This window comes from Homo sapiens, chromosome 11 (assembly GCF_000001405.40).
Source record: "Homo sapiens chromosome 11, GRCh38.p14 Primary Assembly".
Classification (NCBI taxonomy): Eukaryota; Metazoa; Chordata; class Mammalia; order Primates; family Hominidae; genus Homo; species Homo sapiens.
Window position 1 is genome coordinate 83202594 of NC_000011.10, and position 25583 is coordinate 83228176.

Sequence of the window (25583 nt, forward strand, 5' to 3'; positions counted from 1 at the left end):
TGTTTCATCTGCCTGTCTCATCTCTTCCCACTGGTTACCTGGTTGAAATCCAGGTCAGTCAGTACCCACTTGGTAAAGCTTTCTGTTTTCCCCCTCAATATCTCCCAACTAGTTACTGACTCCTTAGTGCTACCTCTAAATCTTATAAATTTTAAAAAGTGTATAACTTTAAATTTTATTCTCTATTAGATTTTGAGCTCTTTGAAGATACCATTTGAGTCTCATTCATCTTTTTTTCCACAATACCTAGTGTAATATCTGGCATATTATAGGAGTCACATCATAAGTTCACAAGAAATGTTTCTCATGTTGCTGAATTTGTTGAATTAAATTTACGTTTATATTTTTAGTGTCTAGCACAGTGCCTAGCAGATGTTCAATAAATGTTGGTTGGATTTTTTTTTTTTTTTTTTTTCAGACAGGGTATCGCTCTTGTTTCCCAGGCTGGAGTGCAGTGGTGTGATCTCAGTTCACTGCAACCTCTGCCTCCCAGGTTCAAGCAGCTCTCCCACCTCAGCCTCTTATGTAGCTGGGACTACAGGTGCATGTGCCACCATACCTGTCTAATTTTTTGTATTTTTGGTAGAGATGGGGTTTCACCACGTGGGCCAGGCTGGTCTCTAACTCCTGACCTCAAGTGATCCACTTGTCTTGGCCTCCCAATAGGGATTACAGGTGTGAGCCACCATGCCCCAGCCTGTTTGTTGGATTTTAACAAGCATAAACAGAAACCAAAAGATTTTAGTGCTTTTCTCTATTCCTACTTAAAGGTCATCTCCTAAGTTTTCCTTTTTTTCTTTCTTTTTTTTTTTTTTTTTGAGAGGGAGTCTTGCTCTGTCGCCCAGGCTGGAGTGCAATGGCACCGTCTTGGTTGACTGCAACCCCTGCCTCCTGGGTTCAAATGATTCTCCTGCCTCAGCCTCCCGAATAGCTGGGACTACAGGCATGTGCCACCACACCCAGCTAATTTTTGTATTTTTAGTAGAGACGGAGTTTCATTATGTTGGCCAGGCTCGTCTCAAACTCCTGACCTTGTGATCCACCTGCCTTGGTCTCCCAAAATGCTAGGATTACAGGCATGAACCACCGCGTCTGGCCCTAAATCTTTACTTGAGCACTACGTTAACACCTTTACAGTTTTTTAACCTTTCTGAATTTTCTTAAGATTTTTGATATTTATATATTGGTTGCAAGAAATAATCACTAAATTAATAATTGGTAAAAAACCATGCTTTATTGGACTTCAGTTTTTTTCAGATGAAATCTGCTATTGAGCTCCTAGTAAACTTTTCATTTCAGATATACTGTTCAACTCCAGAATTTCCATCTGGTTCGGTTCTCTTCTCTCTTCTCTCTTTTCTCTTTTCAAGACAGAGTCTGGTTCTGTTGTCCAGGCTGGAGTACAGTGGCATGATCTCGGCTCACTGCAACCTCTGCCTCCTGGGTTCAAGTGATTCTCCTGCCTCAGCCTCTTGAGTGGCTGGTACTGCAGGTGCCCGCCACCACGCCTGTCTAATTTTTGTATTTTTAGTAGAGACAGGGTTTCACCATGTTGACCAGGATAGTCTTGAATTCCTGACTTTAAATGATCCACCTGCCACAGCCTCCCAAAATGCTGAGATTACAGACATGAACCACTGCACCCAGCCGGTCAATTGATTTTTAACAAAGATGCAAATGTAATTCAGTGGAGAGCAGATATATTTTCATTAAATGATGTTGGCACAATTACACATATTCATATGTAAGAAAATGAACCTTTTATCCTAAGTGAATTAACACAGAAACAGAAAACGAAAAACCACATATTTTCACTTATATGTGGGACCTAAATATTGGGTACACATGGACAAAGAGATGGGAACAATAGACACTGGGGATTCCAAAAGTAGATAGGGAAGGAGGCAAGGGTTGAAAAACTACCTGTTTGGTAACCTGGTCACTATTTGGGAGATGGGTTCAATAGAAGCCCAAATGCCTCAGCATCATGCAGCATATCCATGAAACGAACGAACTTGGCACATGTACCCTCTGAATCTAAAATTAAAAAAAAAAGAAAATGAAGCTTGAGCCATACTTGGTACCATATGCAAAAATTTACTCAAAACAGATTGTAGATAAATGTAAAACTTATAAAACTTACAGAGAAAATAGAGAAGAAAACCTTTGCAAATCACGTACCTAAGAACTTGTAACCAGATTATATAAGGAACTCTCAGAACTCAGCAGTAAGAAAAAAAATTTTAATGGGCAAAAGACTTCAGTTGACACTTTCTCAAAGAGTACATATGGATGGCAATTAAACATATGAAAAGATGTTCAACATCATTAGCCATTAGGCAAATGCAAATTAAGACCACAATGAGATACCTGTAAGAATAGCAGAAAAAACAAAAAACCAAAAAAATGGCAATACAAAGTGTTTATAAGGATATCGAGAAACTGGAACTCCCATACATTGCTGGTGGGAATGTAGAGAGGTACAGCCACGTTAGAAAACAGTTTGGCAGTTTTTAAAATAAAGTTAAATATATACTTATTTTATGTTCTAGCAATCTCACTTCTACATATTCACCCAAGACAAATGTAAAACCAGTACATGAATGTCGACAGTGGCTTTATTCTCTAGTACCTGAACAATGCACATAATAGTCTTTTCATAAATATTGTTGAATAAATGAATGACTTACTATGATTATTATTGAGATTGAGGTTTTTTAATATTTTATTGTCATTAGTCTCTGCTGCAGGAAAATGATATTTACTTGATAAGCCTTTTAAACAAATAATATGATTATGACTTCTATGACAGTGTATCCCAATGATATGATCAATTCTTTTAAAAAGGAAGAGGTGGTAGCATATACAAACTTGAACATATAAAGACAGTAACACCGTATGTGGTACAGACCTTTAAGTACTGTATTATATTGAGATTTAGATTAATTTTTAAAAATCTTAAAGATACATTTGACTTCTCTCATTTTTTTTAAATAAACCATTTATTTTTTAGAATCACTAGAATAACAATGTTTGCTCTGATGCAAAAGCTCTGGACCCGTTTAAAGATCTATGTTTGAGATTGAAAACTGGCAGCCTTTGAGTGAATTTGACTCTTAGATCTGTTTTCTTTGGCCTGCACAGTATTGGTCAAACAGAATATTTACAAACATTGGATAAGCATTTCACTCATAGCAACCACTGACTGTAATTGAGTAGTGTCTACACCTTACAGACAAGAAATATGGTCTCCAGTTTGCCACAGTTCCCACTAGTCTCTATTGTTTACCCAGCAGTGAGGCCAAATGTTGGTTGCCATGTCACTGTGCTTGTGCTTTTGTTTTTCTTATACATGGATCTCTCATTCACTACAGTCTGCTATTTTATGATAACAGACCAAATTTAAAAGATAAAAATGTTAAAAACATCCACTTTATCACTTGTTAACATGGTTATTTTCTTAGTGTCTTCATTGGCTGCTCTGGCATGGAGCTGATATCACACACGTAACAACGAGAGGTTGGACAGCATCTCACATAGCTGCAATCAGGGGTCAGGATGCTTGTGTACAGGTAATAATATTACTTTTTTCAGTAAGTTCAATTACTTTAACATAGTTCTGTTGGGATATTGCTATTATTCTAATTATTTGACTCAATAGATTTAGTTTTATGTTCTAAACAAGAACTTACTGGATTCCACAACTCAGATATTCTGATACCAGCTATCCACTTAAACAAATGGTATGTGACCAGAAATCCTCTTATCTCTGATGTAGTTGGCTGTCTGCGTTGTTTTAAGAGATCTCACAGTCATAACCAGATTATCTCTTTTATAGCTTGCTGCTGTGGTCTGAATGTTTGTGTCCTCCAAAATAAATATGTTGAAATCTTAACCCCAAGGTGATGGTGTTAAGAGGTGAGGCCTTTTGGGAGGTTATTAGGTCATGAGGGGTTTGCCCTCATAAATGGGATTAATGTCCTTTTGCAAGAGACCTCAGAGAGCTAGCTCTCTAGCCTCTTCCACCATATGAGGATGCTGTGAGAAGGCACTATCTATGCAGAATGAGCCCTCACCAGACAGAATCTGCCACCACCTTAATCTTGGACTTCCCAGCCTCCAGAACTATGAGAAATAAATTTTTGTTGTTTATATGCTCCCCAGTTTATGATATTTTGTTATAGTAGTCCAAACAGACTAAGACACTTGGCCATGCCTAAAATTTCGTATTTAATGTATTGCCTGACCAGGGTGACACATTAATATATGGTAGGATCTAGTTTATTAGAGTAATTAATTTATTCAGTGTTTTGAAATAGACTGGAATTTGGAGGAGTACAGAGTCATATAAGCAAACAGCTGGTATTAGTCCATTCTCACACTACTATGAAGAAATACCTGAGACTGGGTAATTTATAAAGAAAAAAGGTTTAGATGACTCACAGTTCCACATGGCTGGGAAGGCCTCAGGAAACTTACAATCATGGTGGAAGGGGAAGCAAACACATCCTTCTTCACAGGATGGCAGGAAGAGAGAAGTGCTGAGCAAAGGGGGAAAGCTTCTTATAAGACCATCAGATCTCGTGAGAACTCACTCACTATCATGAGAATAGCATGGGGTAACCACCCCCATGATTCAATTACCTCCCACTGTGTCCCTCCCATGACACGTGGAGATTATGGGAACTACAATTCAAATGAGATTTGAGGGGGAACACAGCCAATGTACATCACAGTTCCTGCCAGGAAGAAGCGTGAGATTGTTTGAAGGGACAGGAGCTCTACTCAGTGAGTTACAAAACAATACAAAGCAAAATGTATGATTAAAGTTCTAATGAAAAATATAGATGAGAAGAATTGTGTAATTTAGGAGGAGGTAGAGGGATCATAAATGGAGGAAATAAAACATCAGCTAAGCCCAAAAGAGTGGGTTGATTTTAAAGAGGTAAGTAATGAGGAAGTATTATAGAGGCAGGCAATATGTTAGGAGCAAATAAAAATAATGATTGTCATTCATTGGAGATTTATTGTGTGTTAGTCTCTCATGTATCATTTCATCCAACACAAACAGTTCTGTGAGTTCCCTTTTATATAGGTTACAAAACAAATTCAGAGTGTTAAGTACCTTGCCTAAGCAAGTGACAGAGCTAGGATTTGAACCTAGACTTGTCCTATTAATCTCTATGCTATACTTCTGTAAGAAGCTCCTGAATTGGAAAATTGGGCTGTGTTCAGGGGATATACCATTATATTAGTTTTACTGAGTATAGATTATTTGTGGTGTGGACTGTTAAGAACCACGCTTGGATAGACTGGTTTTGTAAAGTGCCTCAGTAATATAATGAAGATTTTGGATTCATTTGTATAGAAAGAGAGTTTTTCCCCCCCTCCTCAACCCTGTGATTACCTGGAAAGAAAAGAGAGGTTTTGTTTTTGTTTTTGTTTTTTGAGACAGGGTCTTGCTCTGTCACCCTGGCTGGAGTGCAGTGCCCTGGTCATGACTCACTGCAGCATCAACCTCCTGGGCCCAAGTGATCCTCCCACCTCAGCCTCCCAAGTAACTGAGACCACCAACATGCATCACCTTGCCTGGCTAATTTTTTTTGTAGAGATGTCTGTGGGAGGGGGGGGTCTCCCTATGTTGCCTAGGCTGGTCTTGAACTCCTGGGCTCAAGTGGTCCTCCTGCCTTGGCCTCCCAAAATGCTGGGATTACAGGCATGAGCCACGGCATCTGGCTGAGAAAAGAGAGTTTTTATATACGTGTGTGTGTTTGTGTGTGTGTGTGTGTGTGAATATGTTTGTATATATATTTACACGTACACATAAACATCCACATGGACCTTAACCGGGGAATGAGATAATGAAAACAGTATTTCAGGGAATTATTCTAGCAAAGTGTGTCCAGGATTATTAGGATGAAGGAAGAGTTAAGAAGATCAGTTAGAGATTTTTTGCTGTAATCACTAACCAGAGAGGGTAAAAATAGGTGGTGGCAGAGGGAAAGAAAGAAAATGAGCCAAGATATCTTGCAAAGCAAACATTGACAGAGCGTAGTGAAAATTCAAATTTTGAGTCAGAATAACAGATAATTATGATGGAATGAATAGGGAAATCTGAAAAGCAAGGAAGATTGGGAGGAAAGATGTTGAGTTCAATTTGGCATACGTTGAGTTTAATGTGTCTGTAGGTCATCCAGGTAGAGAGGGCCCAGGCAGTTGAAAAGGGGGCTGGAGAAAAAGATTACAGGAATGGTAAAGTATAGAAGAGTCTCTAACTCCTGGGCTCGAGTGATCCTTCCACCTCAGCCTCCCAAAGTGCCAGGATTACAGGCATGAGCAACCACTCCTGGCTGGGACTAATCATTCTTTGAAGCCAATTACTCTGGATATGGTATAACCCATATATAGAAACTAGGCCAATTGCAAATTCAGATGGAACCTCTTTAGATGTAGTTAGAAACTTGATTTGGAGCTTAGAACTAGTCACTTTAATAATTAATTATTTTATTGAGTCCAAAACCCTGTTAACAAAGGATTCTGCTTTTGAATTAGTGAAAGTTTAATTTCAGTTTTATCAGGTTAGAATTAAAGAATTTAACTTAGCGGCAATTTATCTGTGCTCATGAAAGATGTGTCTTATAAATTATATATACATGCTCAAATCAGAATGTAAAATCAATATTATAAGTGTCTTCTAGGCAATGTTAAAACATTTTCTTGAGGCCAAAGTGGGTGGGAGTGCGTGCTGCTGGGAGTTGCTTGGAGGTTGGCAGCGCGGGGCTGCAGGCTAGCAAACCGAGCGATCATGTCGCACAAACAAATTTACTATTCAGACAAATACGACGACGAGGAGTTTGAGTATCGACATGTCGTGCTGCCCAAGGACATAGCCAAGCTGGTCCGTAAAACCCATTTGATGTCTGAATCTGAATGGAGGAATCTTGGCGTTCAGCAGAGTCAGGGATGGGTCTATTATATGATCCATGAACCAGAACCTCACATATTGCTGTTCCGGTGCCCACTACCCAAGAAGCCAAAGAAATGAAGCTGGCAAGCTGCTTTTCAGCCTCAAGCTTTACACAGCTGTCCTTACTTCCTAACATCTTTCTGACAACATTTTTTGTTGCCTTCTTGTTTCTCACTTTCATATTTAGAAGATGTTCAATGTACTGTTTCAATGTGCTGGTAACTGCTTTGCTTCTTGGGTAGAGCCACCACCACCATAGCCCAGCCAGATGAGTGCTCTGTGGACCCACAGCCTCAGCTGAATATGACCCCAGAAGCCACGATGTTGTCTGTATCCAGAATACACTTGGCAGATGGAGGAAGCATCTGAGTTTGAGACTGTGGCTGTTACAGGGATCATGTAAACTTGCTGTTTTTGTTTTTTCCTGCCGGGTGTTGTATGTATGGCAACTTGAGAATTTATGTTTCAGTGTACTGGAAACTTTCCATTTTATTCAAGAAATCTGTTCATGTTAAAAGCCTTGATTAGAGAGGAAGTTTTTGTAATCTAAAAAAAAAAACAAACATTTTCTTAGCATTAGCTGAGAATTTCTTATGTTTTGCCTGTAGCACATATGTAAGAACATACATAAGAATTTAGCTATAGATTAATAAATTGCTTGCCTTTGTATAATCTGCATCTGCATTTATGGTTTAACATCTATACTCATGTAAAGTCTTTCCTATTTCTCTATTTTTAGGCTCTTATAATGAATGGAGCAAATCTGACAGCCCAGGATGACCGGGGATGCACTCCTTTACATCTTGCTGCAACTCATGGACATTCTTTCACTTTACAAATAATGCTCCGAAGTGGAGTGGTGAGTGACTCCTGTTAATATGTGCTAATGTGTGATAATATAGATGGAATAGCATTTGGTAGTCTAGTTATCTCTTCCTGACTTTTTAGATCTCTTAATATGACTTTGGGAAACTAATTTAATTTTTCTCTCTAGCTTTTCTATCTTTAAACATAGAAGCAATAATTCAGACAAGTCTTCTCTTCCCCCCCAAAAACCAATTCAGTATTACAAAGTACTTGAGAGGTTTTGGGTTCTTCATGCCAGTTCAGAGTTTAACTGGTTAGATTACGAAGCTTCAAACGAATCTTAACCAGGTGATTGTAAATCTTTATGAATTTTTGTGTGTCTACCTATGTGTTTGTTTTGAAACTCTTACTTCATATAGTGATTTAGAAAGTGATTTATTTCTTCAGAAATTTTGTTTATTGCAATATTTAATTTTATTATGTAGTGGTTGTAATAAATAACGTAGAAGAAGAGAACTAAATATATTGAAGACATTGTGGTAAGAGTTGGTGTTTCTATAGTTTGAGAAAGAGTGAAAACTTATTAAATATTTTTTATTAACTCTGTTTATATTCTCAATGATAGTATTTGATCATTCAATCTATCCCTTTCATTTTATTGGTCAGGAATCTGTGACTGGTAAGATGACTAGTTAAGTTCGTTTTTAAAAACTATTTTATGTGACTCGTTCTTTTGAAAAGCCTGTTTTATAAAATTTTATTAGCTCATATATTCAAATTAGTGGTTGCAGTACATTTTTCTATTAAGTGTTTGCCTTCTTGTATTAAGAACAGCCTCCAATTCTTATTTACAGAATTAAGCTGCTAGGCTTAGTATTTCCCCTACAAAATGGGGAGAAACTAAGTCCTTGTGAATGTTACCTCTAGGATCCCAGTGTGACTGATAAGAGAGAATGGAGACCTGTGCATTATGCAGCTTTTCATGGGCGGCTTGGCTGCTTGCAACTTCTTGTTAAATGGGGTTGTAGCATAGAAGATGTGGACTACAATGGAAACCTTCCAGGTATTTTAAATAAAGCAAATATTTTAGTTTTTCATTGATGTAAACTTTTAAATGTTTGATCTTGTTTAAGAAATTTAAACTGTTGGTTGAGCGTGGTGGCTTACATCTGTAATCTCAGCACTTTGAGAGGCTGAGGCTGGAGGATCACTTGAGGCCAGGAGTTTGAGACCAGCCTGGGCAACATAGTGAGACCCACTCTCTACAAAAAAAAAAAAAAGTAAAAGAAAGAAAAAAGCTGGGTATTGTGGTGTGTGCCTGTAGTCTAACTTTTTGGGATGCTGAGGATTTGGGAGCCCAGGGATTTGAGGCTACAGTGAGCTGTGATTGCACCACTGCACTCCAGTGAGCCTGGGCAACAAAGTGAGACCCCGTCTCTTAAAAAATAAAGACATTGAAACCAATTGTTTTGTTAGTCCCTCACAAAACGAAGTAGTATATATGTTGACATGAATATTTTTTATCTTACATCACACCCATCTTATGTACCTTTCATTTGATTGATTTTTTTCTGGAACCATATCAGCAAAAGAGAAATTGGCAAAATTAAACATAGATTTGCTCTTCCTGCCAGCTCTTTCCTTCATCTGCTATCTAGTGTTTTTATTTTTTAACTTCACCTCTCTCTGCCCCATAGACAACTTATTTATTTTTAAATTTTTTATTTTTTTTTTGAGATAGGGTCTTGCTCTGTTGCCCAGGCTGGAGTGCAGTGGTGTGCTCTCAGCTCACTGCAACCTCTGCCTTCCAGTTCAAGCGATTCTTATGCCTCAGCGTCCTTCGTAGCTGGGTTTCAGGCACCTGCCACCACGCCTGGCTACTTTTTGTATTTTTAGTAGAGATGGAGTTTCACCATGTTGGCTAGGCTGGTCTCGAACTCCTGGCCTAAGAGATCTGCCTGCCTTGGCTTCCCAAAGTGCTGGGATTGCAGGCAGGAGCCACCATGCCTGGCCCAACTTTTTTATTTTTTAAACACTACTGCATAAATGGAGGATACTAGTTAATTTGGGTTAATTTGCTACTTCAGTTGTCTAACCTACAGTAAAGTGGCCAGTGGAGACTTAGACTCCACCTTCTTTAAAAAGTGGTCTACAAATTCTAAAGGATAGATCACAGTGAGATTGGAGTGAAAATGATACTTAAATGATACCTTAAAGAAACAAACACACAAAGGGGAAGGGCAGAATAATATGAACAGGCCTGATCAAATCACTTTGCTATTTAGAACCTCCTTAGATCCCTGTGGAGCCTCTGATTCCTTGGCTTGGCATGCTGGACTTACATAATTTGGCACCTACCTACCTGCATGGCCTCATCTTTCTATATCTTTACACTACTGTCCAGGATCATTTTGTTTTTTTCTGAAGGTCGTCTTTCAGTGTTCATTTAGTGAAGTCTTTTGGTATGAACTCTTTCAATTTTTGTGTATCTGAAAATTTATTTTGTTCTCATTCTTTTTACTTTGTATTTTGTAAGTTTTTTTTTTTAAAGTAAAATTTAAATTGAAGTCTCAAAAAACAAAAAGCCCCTCTCTCGGCGCTGCCTACGGAGGTGGCAGCCATCTCCTCCTCAGCATCATGGCCACCCTCAGACCCCTTGTGAAGCCCAGGATCATCAAAAAGAGAACTAAGAAGTTCTTCCGGCACCAGACTGACTGATATGTCAAAATTAAGTGTAACTGGCAGAAACCCAGAGGTATTGACAACAGGGTTCGTAGAAGGTTCAAGGACCAATCTTGATGCCCAACATTGGTTGTGGGAGCGACAAAAAAAACAAAGCACATGCTGCCTACTGACTTCTGGAAGTTCCTGGTCCACAACATCAAGGAGCTGGAAGTGCTGCTGATGTGCAACAGATCTTACTGTGCTGAGATGTTTCCTCCAAGAACTGCAAAGCCATCGTGGAAAGAGCTGCCCAGCTGTCCATCGGAGTCACACCAACCCCAACGCCAGGCTGCGCAGTGAAGAAAATGAATAGACAGCTCATGTGCATGTTTTGTGTTTAAATAAAACTGTAAAAACTGCAAAGAAAAACCAAAAAACAACAACAAAAAATTATTTTGTGTTAGGCTTCCTTCGCTTTTTCAGACTGCTTTCAATTTCCATTTTCACATATGGTATTATTAGTTTTTTTTTTTAGTTTTAGTCTTTCTGATGGATGTATCTCATTGCAGTTTCAAATTTACATTTTTCCTGATGACTAAAGATGTTGAACATCATTTCGTACGTTTAAAGGCTATTTGGTTTTTTTGTGTGTGTGATGTACTAGTTCAAATCTTTTGCCTATTGGCTGTTAGAGTGTGTCTTTTTCTTATTGAATCATAGGAGTTCTTTATATATTCTAGATACAAGCCCTTTGTCAGTTACGTTTATTACCAATATCTTTTCATGCAAATATCTTTCTAATCTTTCTACTTCATGGCTTGCTCTTTCATTCTTTGGTATTTTTTGATAAATGAGGTTTTAATTATTTTTTTTTTTTGAAATAGAGTCTTGCTCTGTCGCACAGGCTGGAGTGCAGTGGTGCAGTCTCGGCTTGCTGCAACCTCTGCCTCCCGGATTCAAGCGATTCTTCTGCCTCAGCCTCCCGAGTAGCTGGGATTACAGGTGTGCACCACCACGCTTGGCTAATTTTTGTATTTTTAGTAGAAACAGAATTTTAGCATGTTGGCCACGCTGGTCTTGAACTCCTGACCTTGTGATCCACCCACCTCGGCCTCCCAAAGTGCTGGGATTACAGGTGTGAGCCACCGCGCTTGGCCAGAGGTTTTAATTTTAACGTAGTCCATTTTAATAATCTCTTCCTTTGTAGTTAGTCCTTTCTGTACTTTCCCTATTTTGTGATCATGAAGACATTCCTTTATGTTATCTGTTAGAAATTTTATTTATCTTTCATATTTATATTCCCAATCCTCCTAGAACTGACTTTTCCGTGTGTAATACAAGGTAGGGGTCAGTTTTATTTTTGTATTGTCCTTTATCAAATATACTTGATCATTTTTGTTGGTCTTGTCTGGTCATTAAAAAATCCAATTGTTTCTTTAAACATGTATGATTATTTTATTTATAACCAGGTAGAGTATTTATAATAATATAGATGTTAAGAAAGAATGTGGCCTTAGGTCTAGACTGCTTGTGTTCAAATCGCTCTCATAAAATTATTTTTTATTGATAAATGTACATATTTTTGGTGTACATGTGATAATTTGATACATTCATTTGTATCAAATTTGATAATGTATAAAGATCAAATCAAGGTAATTGGGGTAGCCATCCCTTAAATATTTCTTTTATACTAGGAACATTTGAATTATTTTTTTCTAGTTATTTTTAAATACACAATAGATTATGGTTAACTATAATCACCCTACTGATCTGTCAAACACTAGATCTTATTTCTTCTACTCAATTGTATATTTATACCCATTAATCAACTTCTGTTCTTGCTCTCTCCGTGCTACCCTTCTGGCCTTTGGTAATCGCCAATCAATCTACTCTCTATCTTCATGAGACCAGCGTATTTTAGCTCCCACATATGAATGAAAACATATAATATTTGTCTTTCTGTGCTTGACTTATTTTACTTAACATAATGACCTCCAATTCCATCCATCTTGTGGCACTGACAGTATTTCATTCATTTTTGTGTGAATTATATTTCGTTGTGAATATACATTACATTTTCTTTATCCATTCATCACTGATGTGCACTTAGGTTGATTCCATATTTTGGCTATTGTGAATAGTGTGTTAATAAACATGAGAGTGCAGTTATCTCTTTGATACATTGTTTTTTTTTCTTGTGGATATATACCCAGTAGTGGAATTAACTTATAGTTTATTTAATATAAATATAGCTACTCTTTTTCTTTTTTTTTGCTTCTAGTTGCATGGAGTATCTTTTAGTCTACGTGTGTTTCTATAGATGAAGTGGGTGTTTTGTAGGCAGCCTATAGTTGGGTCATGTTTCTTTATACTCTGTGCCTTTTAATTGGAGAGTTAAGTCCATCTACATTCAGTGTTGTTATTGGTAGGTGAAGACTTACAGCTGCCATTTTGTTGCTTGTTTTCTGGTTGTTTTGTAACTCCTACGTTCCTTTCTTCTTGTCTTTCTTTGTGGTTAAGTGATTTTTCTCTGGTAGTATGTTTTAATTTTTTGCTTTTTATTTTTTAGTAAATATAGGTTTTTGCATTGTAGTTACCATGAGTCTTACATTTTATAGATATAACAGATTATTTTAAAGAGATGACGACTTACCTTAGGTCACAAAGAAAGGAATAGAAACAAGGAAAAAGCAAAATGCCCTACATGTTAACTGTTTCTCCCACATTTGGCCTTTTTGTTGCTTCTATTTACATATTTTTGGGGTTGTTTGTTTGTTTTTTTCAGATGGAGTCTTGCTCTGCTACCCAGGCTGGAGTGCAGTGGTGTGATCTTGGCTCACTGCAACATTCTCCTCCTGGGTTCAAGAGATTCTCCTGCCTTAGCCTCTCAAGTAGCTGGATTACAGATGCCCACCCCCATGCCCAGCTAATTTTTGTATTTTTCATAGAGATGGGGTTTCACCATGTTGGCCAGGCTGGTCTCAAACTCCTGACCTCAAGTGATCCACCCACCTCGGCCACCCAAAGTGCTGGGATTACAGGCGTAAGCCACTGTGCCTCACCTATTTACATATTTTTGTATTTCCTATCTCTTAACAGGTTGCTATAGCTATTATTATTGTTGTTAGATTTGTCTTTTAGTCTCATACTGGAGTTATCACACACCACAGTTACATTATTGGAGTATTCTAGGGTTGTCCATGTTTTTAATTTCACCAGTGATTTTTATACCTTCAAATGTTTTCCATTTGCACATTAGTGTTTCTTCTTCCTGATTGAAGAAGTCCCTTTACCATTTCTTTTTTTTTTTTTGAGACGGAGTCTCGCTGTCGCCCAGGCTGGAGTGCAGTGGCGCAATCTCGGCTCACTGCAGGCTCCACCCCCTGGGGTTCACGCCATTCTCCTGCCTCAGCCTCCCGAGTAGCTGGGACTACAGGCGCCCGCCACCTCGCCCGGCTAATTTTTTGTATTTTTAGTAGAGACGGGGTTTCACCGTGTTAGCCAGGATGGTCTCGATCTCCTGACCTCGTGGTCCGCCCGCCTCGGCCTCCCAAAGTGCTGGGATTACAGGCGTGAGCCACCGCGCCCGGCCCCTTTACCATTTCTTATAAGATGGTTCTGGTGATCGTAAATTGTCTCGGCTTTTGTTTGTCTGGGAAAGGCTTTCTGTCTTCTTTATTTATGTTTTGGTGTAAGGCATATTTTAAGCATATATCTTCAATATTATCCATCCAGGACCGAAGTAAGTTCTGATGCAGGAAATGAGTGAGTTTCACAGCTTTCTGAGCCACTACTTGACCCAGGAAGCCCAGCTGGCCCCTCCTCTGAGTCCCCCCTCTAAAACAGGACACCCCAACTGCTGTTGGGAACTGGGCGGCAGTCATTCTGGCTACTTCCTGCTGGTTAGGGGCGAAGAAGGGGCCCTGCAGTTGTGGTGTCCTCCAGAGGGGATCTTTTTAGGCCAGTCGGAGACCAACAGGTCAATCTGGGGGTCCTCGGTAGAAGCTGTGAGTTGAGCTCATTTGAGGTTCCATTTGTAATACCATTTGTAGCTTGATGGCCTTGATCTTGGAGGAAACAAATTTGACAAGGAGGTTAAAAATGCAAGGCCCAAAGGCAAGTAATAGTAGGATGGCTGTCACAGGGCCTAGAAAGGGGAGGAGCCCAGGTATCTATTGGTTAAACATATTCCAGGGTACTGAATGTTCAAGCTCCTTTTTCCTCTCTTAAATGTCTAACAATATCTGTAGAGGACAACAAATTGGTAATTTGTTCCCTATATTCATGTAGATAATAGCCCCAGCTTTGGCTAATATGTTCCTCCCTAATAAGGGTGTGGGACTTTTGGGCATAACAAGAAAGGCATGTGAAAAGAGCAAAGTCTCCTAATTGCAACCGAGCAGGCGAGAGTAATACCAGGTTACAGGCTGTCCTAAGATTCGTCGGATAGTAACAGACTTTGAGGACAGTCATCCGAGGCAGGAGATTGAAACTGTGAAGGCTGTGCCAGTGTCCAGGAGGAAGTCCACTTCCTGGCCCTCAGTGGTCAAACTTACCTGGGGCTCTGTGAGGGTGATGGCATGAGCTGGCACTTGCCCTGGCCACCCTCAGGCCTGTTGCTGAATCATCTGGTTGGGTGCTTCTGGCCCAGAGGGCCTTTGTCCTCTGGGGCAGTGCGCCTTCCAGTGATTGCCTTGGCATATTGGACATGGGTGAGGAGGCGGTTTGTTTCTGGTTGGACAATCTTTAAGTATCCTTGCAAACTGCACTGATAACAAGCCCTACTAGGCAATTGGCCTGCTCCTCTTTTGGTTCCCTCTGAGCCACCAGGGTCTACCTGTCTGAGAGCCAAGACTAAGGCTGCAGCCTTTTTCTTATCTTGCTTTTCCCTTTTGGCCTGTTCCTCTTGGTCCCTGTTACAGAACACCGAGGTTGCCAGGTTTAGTAATGCCTCCAAATTTTCTTCTGGGCCTAAGGCAAACTTTTGGAGTTTTCTCCTAATGTCAGCCACTGATTGGGTGATACATTTATCCTTTAGAATAAGTTGGCCTTCCAGGGAATCTGGAGTTAGGGAGGTGTGCTTTCTTAGGGCCTCCCTTAGCTTTTCTAGAAAAGCAGAGGGGTTTTCCTCTTTCTTACTGTGTAATTGTGGATAACATTGCGTAGTTCATAGGTTTTTCCTAGTCTTCCTCAACCCTTCTAAAATGCAAATTAGCAAATGCCTGTGGCTCTAATCTCCATGATTTGAGTCAGTATCCTAATGAGGGTCTACAGTGGGTACTGCCTGTTGCCCTGTGGGGAATTTTTCCTTTTCCTCCAGGGTCATTCGATCATTTACCTGGCTGAGATACCATAAATGTCCAAATTGCTGGGCTGCCGCTAAAGCTGCCTCATTTTCAATAGGACTTAAGGTCTGATCAAGGAGCAACATGATGTCCTTCCATGCTAGATCAGAGGACTGCCCTAACCCTTGTAAAACATCTGTATAGTTATAGGGATCATCCGAGAATTTCCCTAAATCTGCCTTTATTTGTTTTAAATCTGAGAGTGAGAAGGGGGCATGCAAGTAAATGGGCCCAAATTCTCATCCTACTGTTTGTGAGGGACATAGTTTGGGTGCCTGGCTTGCAGAGTTTATGTTCTCTTTCTGGGGTGCCTTTAACACTTCGGTGGGGCTGGATGAAGGAGAGTCAGTGGGGGAGGAGAGTGGGGCTGAGGGAAGAGGCCCTCAGTACGGAGGTAATTGTGGGCCTCTGTCATTTGGGCAAAGCTTGCAGGCTTGGTACAAGGCAGTATTGTCACGAAGGGCAAAGAAAGCCTGTACATAAGGGACTTCACTCCATTTACCTTCCTGTTTACAGAAAAGACTAGTTGTAGAAGGGTGTTATAATTAATACTTCCCTCAGGGGGCCAAGTTTCTCCATTTTGTAAGGAATACTGTGGCCAGGCAGTGGTACAGAAGAAAATTAGCCGCTTCTTTTTTAAGGTTTCAGGGTCAAATTTGTCCCAGTAATTCAGGATACATCTTAAGGGAGTGTCTGGTTTTCAAGGTGTGGTGCTCATCCGGAATTTTAAACAGAGGGATGTCTGCACCTCTGGTTAGTCCTGGGACTCGTCTTCCCTAAAGGCATCCCCTAAGGGTCAGGTCCAGTTGTATTCAAAGCTCATGGCTGCTTTTCCTGAGTCTTCCATCTACCGGATTTAACCATGCTTACCAGCGGGATGGAAACGTCCCTTGCCCCTGCCATGTGCCTGTTGACCACTAAGTGGGGCACAAGGACTGTTGAATTTATTGTGGTTCTTCTGCCAATGCGTCTTACCTATTCCAGGGTGGCAAGGCCTGGGTCGGGGGCACCACTGATGCTTGCATGCTAAGGACCAATTTATGTGGTCCTGGCCATAAAACTGTCCTTCAAGGAGAAATCTCTGAATTAGTGACAGGAGGCGTATAGTAAGTTTAAAGGGGGTGGTGGATGTCCTCTAGGCCAGGGCCAAGAGAACAGCTGCTGTACTTTAGCCTCTGTCCCCACTTGCCATCAAAGGAGTAAGCCCCTCTCTCAAGGCGGTACCAGTATCCTGTGTCCCAACTGACTATATTTTCTTCCCTCCAACACCAGTTATTGAATGGTCGAAACAACAATTCAATGGCTTTAAGACCTGTGCCTATGCACCACAGATTGTACTTGAGAGGCCCCAAGGAAGGGGAAAGTTTATCTGGGGAGCAATGGAGGAAATGCCCTAAGACTTCTACTATCCACATGAAAATTACCTGTCTTTAAATTGTCCTGATGTGGGGGACCATACGCTATGGTAGGGAACTGGCCCTTCAAAATGGCCATCAAATGGTGACACTTGCCTAAACCCTGGAGGGCACCATGAACAGGGATCTTCCAGGTGCCACTCCAAGAATTCAAGACTTCTAAATAGGGAGTCTTGATCCTGCCTAGTGGGAATAACCTTGCTTGCAAGATGAGGAAAGAAGTCTAGCCGGCAGACATTAGCATCCAGGAGGCAGGAGTCAGAAGATGTGGCTGTCTCATACTCAGTAACCCATGCAGGGGGAGCCTCTGGTGGGACCATTGTCTCAACCAGGATATCTGGGAGACTAAGACGTCCGCTGAGCACTCCCAGGTGTATTTTGGGACCACCACGGAAAGTGAAAGAGTTGGAACTGGTTCCAGGCCAACTAAAGCTCCCAACCCCGAAGGGTCGGGGGTTGTTAGAGAGCCCTTTTCCAGACAGCCTGACACCTGTGTCTTTAGTCTGGCGGCTGTGCTAATTGCCTTTAAGTGGCTGACAGGTGCCCAGTTTAGCCTCTGAATTCTAAGGAAGGACAGGACAGAATAGCAAGTGAAAGAGGTCCGATTGTATTCACCACGTGACGATCTAGATGCCTTTCCTGGACACTCCTGGCAGGCTCGCCAAAATGTAATGCCTAAGGTTCTTACCTAGCCATGCCAAAGAATTGGTGTGGTGGCTGACCGCGGTGAGTCACGGACTGATAGAAAAAGCTATAGGCTTTATTGAGCAGAGTGAAAGTACAAAGCTTCCACGGCATGGAAGGGGTCCCGAATGGGTAGCCCTTCTGTCTTCTTTATAGTTGAAGAAGCTTTGCTGGATTCTTGGATGGCAGGGTTTTGTTTTGTTTCCTTTCAGCACTTTGAAAATGTCTTTTTCCTTCCTAGCCTGTGTGGTTTTTCTTGAGAAGTTTTTTTTGCCAGACAAACTGGGGCACCTTTATATGTTATTCGTTTCTTTATTGTTTCTGCTTTTAAGATCCTTCCTTTGTCTTTGACCTTTGAGAGTTTGATTATTTATTATATGCCTTGGGTGGTCTTACTACGGTTGAATCTGTTTGGTGTTCTGAGACCTTACTATTTCTGGATATTTATATTTATCTCAAGTTTTGGAAAGTTTTCTGTTATTATTTCTTTGGATAAGCTTTCTACCACTTGTTCTTGCTCACTTTCTCTTGAACACCAGTAATTCTTAGATTTGGTCTTTTGAGATAATTTTCTATTTCTTGTAGGTGATTTTCATTTCTTTCCATTTTTTTTTTCTCCTATGACTGGGTATTTTCAAATAGCCTATTTTTGAGCTCACTGATTCTTTCCTCTGCCTGATCCATTCTGTTATTGAGAGCCTCTAATGAATTTGTTAGTTTGGCAAATATGTTTCTCAATTTTAAGATTTCTGTTTGATTTTAAAAATTATTTAAAATATTTTTGTTAAATTTCTGTGATCAATTTCTGAATTGTTCTTCTAGGTTTCTTTGAGATCACTAAGTTTCCTTAAAACTGCTATTTTGAATTCTTTGAGAACTCACATATTGCCATCTTGTTAGAGTCAGTCAGTAGTTTATTGCTTTGTCTGTTTGGGTAGGTTTTGTTTCCCTGTTTGCTATGATTTCTTACGGATGTACATCTATGTCTTTGCATTGAGGGATTAGTTTTTCCAGTCTTCTCTGTCTGGCTTCTTTTGGTTTTTATGGGGTATGTTTGTATAGAGATTCTTTGTAATTTTCTTGTTGATTTTCTTTCTTTTTCCAGGTAGGTCTCTGCCTCCTTTTTGGCCCTAAATGGCACCTTATGCTCAGGTTTGCCTTGACTCTAGTAAATAAGCCATCGGAGTGTAGCTCATTCCAAATTGGGGAGGTCCTAAATGGGATATTTCAGCAGTATGGGAATGCTTGCTAGCAGTTTGTGCCCAGGGGACCTGTGGAAAGAACCTTAGTATGGTGATGCTGAACAGCCACTCTGATTTGGTGTCTCCTTTGGCTTAGTTACAGAGCAGAGTTTCCAGGACTGAGGATGGTAGTCCTACCTCTCCCCTTTGTCTCTGGCTGTCCTTAGGGATATATTTGTCTTCAGGCACTCCCAGTGCTTCCTGTGGCTTGAGATAGGGACAGGTCTTCTGCCAGGGAGCCCAAGATGATAGGGAAGCTGCTTGTTTACTTTGATTTCACTTTTTCCAGTATAAAAACTGTGAGTTGGGAGAAATTTCCATGAACTTTGTGCTGGGCAGAATTGGGGGAGACATGTCTTGGATATGGAAGTCCAATTCTCTTACTGTCTGCTCTGAGTTTTTTCACTTGACTGTGGCCCCAGGACCTGTCTCATCCTCATATTTGAATTCTGGGCTATTGCTAGTGATAATCTCAGTGCTGTATATTTGTTTTTGTTTTCTTTGATAGAGCGTGAAATTAGCTTGCTTCTTCAGGGCCATTTTGGAACTAGAAACCCTCTCAAAAATTTTTATTAATTTGACATACATTTATTGAGCACATACTATGTGTTAGTTATTTGGGGTGCTGGAGATATTACAGCAAATAAAAGACAAAGTCCTGCCTACATGTGGTGCTGAGGGGAGAGACAGGTAATCATCTAAATAAATGAGCAAAATATATATTATATAGGGATATGTGTTTAGATAAATGTAAAGTAGGAAAGGAGAGAAGAGAGTATTAGAGGGCATGGAATTTGAAATAAGTCCTCAAGAAAGCCTTCACTGAGGAAGTGACAATTGGATAAACATCTGAAGGAGCTGAGGAAGCAGATTTTGTGGATATCCTGGAGGAAGAACATTTCAGGTAGAGGTAACAGCAAGTGTAAATCTCCTGAGGGAGGGATGTGCGTGGTGTGTATGAGTAATAGTAAGTCAGTAAGTTCCAACAGAAGTGAGGGGGTGAGTATTAGATGTTATGGTTGGAGAAGTAAGAGGAGCCATTAGAGGGTTTGTTTGTTTTTTCTTTCCTTCTTTCCTGTCTTTCTCATTGTGTTGCCCAGTCTGGTCTCAAACTTCTGGGCTCAAGTAAACCTTCTGCCTCAGCCTTTGAATACCTAGGACTATATGCATGTGCCACCATGCCCAGCTTTATTGGAGTGTTTTGATCACAGGAGTGACATGATCTGACCCATGTTTAAAGGGATCATTTTGAGCTGGGCATGGTGGCCCATGCTTGTAGTCCCAGTAGTTTGGGAGGCCAAGGGCGGGTGCATTGCTTGAGGCCAGGAGTTTGAGACCAGCCTGGCCAACATGGTGAAACCCGTCTCTACTAAAAATACAAAAAATTGCTGGGCGTAGTGGCACACACCTGTAATCCCAGCTACTTGGGAGGCTGAGGCACCAGAATCGCTTGAACCCAGGAGGTGGAGGTTTCAGTGAGCCAAGATTGCGCCACTGCACTCCAGCCTGTGCAACAGAGCAAGACCCTGTCTCAAAACAAAAATAAAAGGATCATTTTGCTGTTGTATTTATAATAGACTGCAGTTGAGGGTGCGGTAGTGGCATGCGTAAGAAATAGGGAGAGTAATTGGGAACCTGATGCAATAATTCAGGCTACTATTTCGGTTGGCCAGTATACAGGCAGCAAAGGTAGTGAGAAGTAATCAGGTTCTGTATATATTTTGAAGGAGCCAGTAAAATTTGTTGATGGATTAGATGTGGGGAGTAATGGAAAGGGGAGTCAAGGATGGCTCCAAGGCTTATGGGCCTGAACAATGTGGAGAGAACTTCCATTAACCGAGACGGGGAGATAATATAAGGTAAATGTGTGTGAGGAGGCTAAGGAGCTCAACTTTTGACATATGTTAGAAATGCTTATAAGACTTTTAAGTGTAAATGATGAGTAAGCAGTTAGAGGAATCTGAAGTTTCAGGGGGGCAGGGCCTAGTGTGAGGGGCAGCTGAGGGAGGATAGATTGATATGTGCCAGCAACTTGTCTTATCTGGACTTCTTTTCTGGTACTTCTTGTTTCACCTGAATTATACTGGCCACTTGGACATTACCCTGCCTCTCCATAATCAAGATATGTGAATTGGGCTTATTTCCCAAGCGGTCATTTCTTAAGTGTAAAGACTGTCTTGGTCTTTGTAATCATTGCCTCAAAGCTTGTAACAACTCCAGATTCATTCCTTTTTTTTTTTTTTTGCATGAAGTTTTAGGTTATGGCTGTCCCTGAGTCTCATCCAATATACTTTCTTTCAGGGATTCCTTAAAATTTCTTGTCTGTTCATGGCATTCTTGTTTTTTTCTTTAGTTTTTTATAGCTTTAAAAAATACCTTTTCTGTTATTTCCTGAAGGGCTATAAATGTTGAAGTCAGTGTATATACCTAGTCTGCAGTTCAATCCATTCTTCTTGTTTATAATAAAAAGAATAAATTATTATAGAAAAGTGACAAATGCATAGTGATAAAATATTATAATGTTCTTATTTGCAGAGTGACTATTGGTTTATTTCTTCCACTTCTTCCCAAAATATTAAATTTTACTTATTTATTTTACTTATATAATAAGCATTTTATCCTGTAATTATAAACTGCATAATTGGGATTTCACTTTCTAAGATAACTTTCTGGGCCTGCTCTTCGGTGACCCTCATCTGGTCTTTATAGACTCATGGTAAGTGTAACTATTCAACCATTTACTCACTGCTTTGAAGTGACTAGAAGGCTGACTGTGTAAAGAAATGCAGGCTGGGAAAAAGGTCTCTTCTCCGTGTTCCTGTCATTTGGGGCAGGGATAGTCATCTCCCTATAAGGAATAGAGCTAATGTGTTATTTCTTTTTTCAAGTTATTTTAGTTTCAATTTAAAAAATAAATTCTGCCAGGCATGGTAGCTCCTGCCTGTACTCCCAGCTACTTGGGAGGATGAGGTGGGGGGAATCACTTGAGCCCAGGAGTTGGAGGCTATAATGAGCTATGATTGTGCCACTGCACTCCAGCCTGGGTTACAGAGCAAGATCTTGTCTCTAAATACATACATACATACATAAAAATTTTAAAAAATAAAAATTAAATTAATTTTTTTTCCTTTCCTCTAGTTCACTTAGCAGCCATGGAAGGCCACCTTCACTGTTTCAAATTCCTAGTCAGTAGAATGAGCAGTGCGACGCAAGTTTTAAAAGCTTTCAATGATAATGGAGAAAATGTACTGGATTTGGCCCAGAGGTTCTTCAAGCAGAACATTTTACAGTTTATCCAGGGGGCTGAGTATGAAGGAAAAGACCTAGAGGATCAGGAAAGTAAGTAATTAAGTTATATGTTCTAGCATATAATGTGATGATGATGATGATGATAATATAATGAGTAGAATCAATGAAATAGGAAAAGATATAAGGCAAATGTTATATACGTTATATGTAAAAATATAAACATGTTTAATATATAACATATTAAAATTTATTACATATCGTTGTCTATACATTCATCTAGATTCTTTACTATGAAATATTTTAGACAAAAATGTGTAGAGGTTGGTTGCAGTGGCACATGCCGGTAATCCCAGAACTTCGGGAGTCTGAGGTGAGTGGATTGCTTGAGCCCAGAAGTTTGAGACCAACTTGGGAAATATAGTAAAACCCTATCTCTACAAAAAATACAGAAATTAGCTGTATGTGGAGGCATGCCTGTAATCCCAGCTACTTGGGAGGCCGAGGTGGGAGGATGGATTGAGCCCAGGAAGTCAAGGCTACAGTGAACCGTGATTGTACCTCTGCACTCCAGCCTGGGTGACAAAATGAGACCCTGTCTCAAAAAAAAAAAAAGAAAAAGATTAACATAATGAGCAGTGAATCACTAAATTTAAGAATAAAATATAGAGGCCAGATGCGGTGGCTCACGCCTATAATCCCAGCTACTCGGGAGGTTCAGGCAGGAGAATCACCTGAACCTGGGAGGTGGAGGTTGTGGTGAGCTGAAATCATGCAATTGCACTCCATCCTGGGCAGCAAGAGCGAAACTCCATCCTGGAAAAAAAAAAAAAAAAAAAAAAAGGAATAAAATATAGAGTTGAAGCCCTTTGGAGCTCTCTCCCTAATACCATTACCTTTTCTTCCTCCTCAAGGGTAAACTATTATTTTAGATTTTTCATTCCATTCTGTGGTTTTATATTTTAGTTATATATATGAGTTGGGGTCTCACTATGTTTCCCAGGCTGGTCTCAAACTCCTGGCCTCAAGTGATCCTCCTGCCCCAGCCTCCCCGCAAAGCACTGGGATTATAGGCATGGGCCACTGCATCCAGCCTGTATTATTCTTTATGTGCATTATTTGTTATTGTTGTATTGTTATTTTTATTTGTTTCTCCTTCAAATATTTTCCATCTGTTCAATCTGCAGATGTGGAACTTGCAGGTATGGAGGGCCAGCTGTACATCTGTACACATACATATGTACACATACACACACACACACACATACACACACACATACACACACACAACTGGAAGTACCTAACCTGATCCCTAGCATATAGGTGATGCTTAATAAAATGTCTTTAATGATAGTAACTACATAAACTGAGTCCTTACTAAAAATGCCAGACATGATAGTAAGCACTTGTAAGGATTGCATTGTTTTGTCTTTTTTAAAAATAAGATCTTCTTGATACTTGGTTACCAAAGAATTCATAATTTAACCCTCTCAATGCATCTGAAATGTAGCTATTCTCATTTTTACATATGGAAAGAAACAACCTAGAATAGCCAAAGAATATTTTTAAAATAACAAAGTTGGAAGGACTTACACGACTTGATTTTAAGACTTTTACTATAATGCTATGGTAATCAAGGCAGTGTGTAGTAATGGCAAACAGACATACAGATCAGTAAGACAGAATACAATAAAGACCAGCAAGAGTAGGGCATGATGGTGCATCCCTGTAATCCTAGCTACCCGGGAGGCTGAGGTGGGAGGATTGCTTGAGCCCAGGAGTTCAAAGTTACAGTGAGCTGTGACCACACCTCAGTGACAAAGTGAGACCCTGCCTCTAAACAAAACAAAACAAAACAAAACAGTATGACAACTATTTACATAGCATTTCTATTGTATTAGGTATTGTGAGTAACCTAGAGATTATTTAAAGTATATGGGAGGGAGGATGTGCATAGGTTTATATGTAAATATTATACCATTTTATATAAGGGACTTGGGCATCCACAGATTTTGGTATCTTTGGGGGTCCTGGAACCCTTAGGATTCCAAGGGATGACTCTATATGTGTGTGCACATACAGACTTCTTATTTGCTTCTAGTCTATTTTGCTGTTTTCACTATCTTATAAGCAGAAAAGGAGAGGTCTGTGCAACTGCAGGCCGTGAGAACAAGTGTGTCTTTATTTATTTATTTTTTTTGAGATGGAATCTCACTCTTGGCTCACTGCAACCTCCACCTCCCAGGTTCAAGTGATTCTCCTGCCTCAGCCTCCTGAGTAGCTGTGATTACAGGCGTGAGCCACCACACCTGGCTAAGTTTTGTATTTTTAGTAGAGACAGGGTTTCACCATGTTGGCCAGGCTGGTCTTGAACTCGTGACCTCAAATGATTCACCCATCTCAGCCTCCCAAAGTGCTGGGATTACAGGCGTGAGCCACCATGCCCGGCTTCTAAGTGTGTCTTTATACAAAGGGTTTTAAAGGGTTTTAAATGACCATCCCCTGTGTTTTGTGGTGATATGAGAGAGAAAGAGAGTATGGCTAAAAATTGTCCTGGTACAATACTTCTGGCATGTTTGAAGTCCTGAGGGTAAAAGGAGTAGAATGATTAGTAATAATCTCATTTTATAATTCTCTTTTTACTGGTAGTCATCAACTGAACTCATCCGATTACAACAGCCTTATATTTGAGAAAATATTGAAACCTGAAATATATGACAGCTTAAGACAGGGAAAAGAATAAACTCTTATGTTTATTGAAATGCTGAATTTTTTTATTCATAGCTTTAGCATTTCCAGGTCATGTGGCTGCCTTTAAGGGTGATTTGGGGATGCTTAAGAAATTAGTGGAAGATGGAGTAATCAATATTAATGAGCGTGCTGATAATGGATCAACTCCTATGCATAAAGGTGAGTTATGATTCCTCCTTTCAGTTCGGATACAATAGCTGCTGAGTTATTCATCTTTTAAAGTAATTATCAGTCAGAAACACATGAAACATGAAACTTTTTTCTGATACCCTAGCAGATATCAGTCTATCTTGTATGGTATATAGAATGCCTAATTTTCAATTCAAGTGTAATGTTTCTTTTATGATGCCAGATATTCATACATTATCTTATTCAAGGGTAATTCCAATAAAATTTCTATAGTGACATTGTCATGTTAGTTAAGATGTGAAATGTACTGCTAGAGAAGTTTCTTAGGATAACA

At 39.9% G+C, this 25583-nt stretch overlaps 1 protein-coding gene and 2 pseudogenes across 8 annotated transcripts in view; all 3 read left to right on the plus strand.

Annotated features, from left to right (window-relative positions):
* ANKRD42 (ankyrin repeat domain 42) overlaps positions 1-25583 on the plus strand; it is a 70571-nt gene that overhangs the window by 8882 nt on the left and 36106 nt on the right. For 3 of the 8 annotated variants that reach the window (NM_001300972.2, NM_001300975.2, NM_182603.4), the window contains exons 3-7: positions 3465-3572; positions 7707-7826; positions 8702-8837; positions 22262-22462; positions 25154-25279. In NM_001300972.2, coding sequence (NP_001287901.1) covers positions 3465-3572; positions 7707-7826; positions 8702-8837; positions 22262-22462; positions 25154-25279 — 691 coding nt within the window. Of the gene's footprint in view, positions 1-3464; positions 3573-7706; positions 7827-8701; positions 8838-10059; positions 12608-22261; positions 22463-25153; positions 25280-25583 lie in introns of those variants that run through there. The other 5 variants (NM_001433541.1, NM_001300973.2, NR_125355.2 and 2 more) reach the window with 3 other exon arrangements.
* Positions 6741-7516, plus strand: CKS1BP4 (CDC28 protein kinase regulatory subunit 1B pseudogene 4; annotated as a pseudogene).
* RPL32P24 (ribosomal protein L32 pseudogene 24) lies at positions 10360-10858 on the plus strand (annotated as a pseudogene).